Source organism: Homo sapiens, chromosome 6 (genome assembly GCF_000001405.40).
Source record: "Homo sapiens chromosome 6, GRCh38.p14 Primary Assembly".
Classification (NCBI taxonomy): domain Eukaryota; kingdom Metazoa; phylum Chordata; class Mammalia; order Primates; family Hominidae; genus Homo; species Homo sapiens.
The window spans coordinates 25,146,090-25,149,816 of NC_000006.12; positions in this window are offsets into that span (position 1 = coordinate 25,146,090).

Here is a 3,727-nt window from a genome sequence, read left to right on the forward strand (position 1 = left end):
CTGGCCAACATGGTGAAACCCCGTCTCTACAAAAAATACAAGATTAGCCGGGTGTAGTGGCACATGCCTGTAATCCCAGCTGCTCAGGAGGCTGAGGCAGGAGAATTGCTTGAACCCGGGAGGCAGAGATTGCAGTGAGCCGAGATCGTGCCATTGCACTCCAGCCTGGGCAACAAGAGAGAAACTCCATCTCAAAAAATAAATAAATAAATAAAAATTAAAAGATAGCATAAAAAATGAAATATCAAGAAATACATTTAACAAAAGATGATCTCTTTGGAGAAAATTATAAAACTCTATTGAGAGATATTAAGTGTATCTATAAACGAAGAGTTATATTATGTTCATAGATAGGAAGCTCAATATTATGAAGATAATCAATTTACTCCAAATTTATCTGTAGATTTACTATAGTCTCAATAAAACCCCCAGAATTTTTTTTTTTTTTTTACAGCTTAAAAACTTACTCTAAAATTTATTAAGATATGCCAAGGGCCAAAAAGAGAAAAAACATTCTTCAAGAAGAACAAGGTGGGAGATGAGAGAGGATTTGTCCTAGCAAATATCAAGACTTATTGTAAGCTATAATAATTAAGATCATATAGTGTTGGCTCAGTGGTAGATAAAATAATCAAGGGAACAGGATAGAGGCCTGGAAACAAGTCCACATATACACCAACACTTGATAAGTGACACTGTAGATCACTAGGGAAAGGATAAATGTTTCCACTAAACTTGCTGGGGTAACTGGGATCCCATATTGGAAAAATAGATTGGACTCTTTCCTTATTCCATAGATAAAAATCAATTTCAGACAAGTTAAAAGACTTACATTTAAAAGATAAACAATCAAGCTTTTGGAAGGTATTTAGGAGAAATTTTTTATAATCTTGGGACACGGTGGATTTTTTTCAACAAAACACAAAAAGCTCTACCCAAAAGGAAAATTATTGCAATTTTAGATTACACCAAAAGAACATATACACCCCAAAACACAATAAAAGAGTAAAAAGGTAAGACACATAATGAAAATTTGCAACATAAATATGACAAAGGATTTCTATGCAGAATATAGAAGAATGTCTATAAATCAATAAGAAAAAGACAATCTATAAGAAAAATGGGCAAAAAGGTTTGAATAGGTACTTCATAAAATAGAATATCCAAATTGTGACTAACTGTATAAACAGAGCTCAGCCTCACTAGCAATGGGGAAGTGAAAATAAAAACCACAATGAAGTACCACTATACTTACCAGAACAACTAAAATTAAAACAACTGCAAGTACTAAATGTTGATAATAGGAGTATGGAAACTCTCATATGTTACTAATGACAATGTAGTGAGGTTCAATCTCATTGAAAAATAGTGTGGCATTCTACACTAAAACAGAGAATACACATATACTGTCACCTAACAATCCTACTCTTAGCTAAGTCTCAACACTGGAGAAATATGTGCATATGTTCTTCAAGATACATGTACAAGAATGTACATCACAGCATTATTCATATTACATTTGAGTATATTACATTGGAAACAATGCAAATGTTCATCAACAATGAAATGATAAATTATGTATTTATATGTTATGTAAATTATACGCTATAACAGTAAAGTAGCATTCTGTGGAACACAAAAAGACAAATAAACCAATTAAGACTACTTGTAACAACGTGCACCAATGCCCAGAAATAATATTGGATAAAAAGAACAAAACACACACACACAGAGGCAACGTGACTCCATTTAAATAAAGTTCCCTAACAAGAAAACTAAAGTGTATTGTTTCAGAAAATGAGAAAAATATTACAAGAGTCAGGGTACTATATATCTTTAAGGAGAGAGTTTTAATCAGAAAGGAGCACATATGTAGGATGCAATTAAAGCAAGACATGGGGCAAATTTGTAGCTTTAAATGGCTATAATAGAAAAGAAGAACGATCTTAATAATCTTAAGACTTCAACTTCAGATCTAGAAAAGGAAAAGCAAACAAAACCCAAAACAAGTAGAATAAGAAAATAATAACAGGGTAAAAATAAAAGAAGTAGAAAAAACAAAAAAAATAGAAAATCAGTAAAATCAAAAAATGGTTCTTTGAAAAGATCAGCAAAATTGGCAAACCTTCAGGTAGATTGAACAAGATAAAGAGATAAAGCACAGATTACAAAAAAATCCGGAATGAAAGAGGAGATATTACCATTAATCCTACAAATATTAAAAGGACTATAAGTAAATACTATGAATAAATATATGCCAACAAATTAGATAATTTAGGTAATGTGGGCAAATTCCTAGAGCAACACAAATTGCCAAAATGGACTCATAAAGGAATAGAAAACATGAACAAACCTATGACAGGAAAAGAGATCGAATCAGTAATTTAAAGTATTTTCAAAGAAAAACATAGAACCCAGAGGCTTCACTGGTGAATTCTATCAAACATTTAGAGAAAAATTAGTACTGATAGTCCATAAACTTGTCCAGATCAATTGGGATTTATCCTAGGAATGCAGGATTGATTTAATACATGAAAATCAATTATGTAATATACCACATTAAGAGAATAAAAGGTAAAAACCACATAATAGTCTCAAAAGAAATTATAATGCAGAAAAAAATTTTGAAAAAAAATACCCTTTCATGACTAACTCCCACCCCCTCACAACGACACACTTTACAAACTAATAGTAGAAAGTAATTTTCTCAATCTAATTAAGGGAACCCATGAAAAACCCAAAACTAACATTATACTCAATAGCAAAAGACTGGATACTTTTTCCCTAAAATCAAGAAGAAGATAAGGATATCTGCTCTCACCACTTCCATTCAACATTTTACTGAAGGTTCTAGACAGGAAAATTAGGCAAAATAAAGCCATCAAGTTGGAAAGGAAGAGTAAAGGTATTTGCAGACAACATGATCTTGTATATATAAAATCCTAAAACATTTACTAAAAAATTTCCAGAGCTAATAGACAAGTTAGGCAAAATGTCAGATACAAGATGAATATACAAAAATCAATTGCATTTCTACATGTTAGCAATGAACAACTCAAAAAAGAGATTAAGAAAAAAATTCATTCAGAATGTAATTAAGAACAATAAACACTTTGGAATAAGTATAACAAAAGAAGTACAAAACTTGTACACTGCAAACTACAGAATATTTTTAAAATTAAACATCTAAATAAAGAGGAAGATACTCCATGTTCATAGATCAGAAGGTTAGATGGCAGTACTCCCCAAATTTTTCTACAGAGTTAATGCAATTCCTTTCTAAATCCCAGAAACTCACAAGCTGATCCGAAAATTCGTAAGAACACACAAAGGACTCTGATTAAAATAATCTTGAACAAAGTTGGAGAACTCATACTTCTCCATTTCAAAACTTACAACAATATTACACTAATCAAGATAGTGTAGTACTGGCATGAAGGTAAACATAGAATTGAGAGTCCAGAAATAAGCTCGTGTGTGTGGTCAATTGATTTTCAAGAAAGTGTCAAGACCATTCAATGGGGTGAAGAATAATCCTGTATTCAACAAATGGTGCTGGGCCAACTGAATAGCCACATGCAAAAGCATAATTTGTACCCCTACCCCACACCACATACAAAAATTAAGTCAAAATGAATCATAGACCTAAATATAATAGCTAAAACTATAACACTTTTAGAGGAAAACTGTAGGGAGTGAGTTCCAGAATTTCTGGACTGATCGAAGA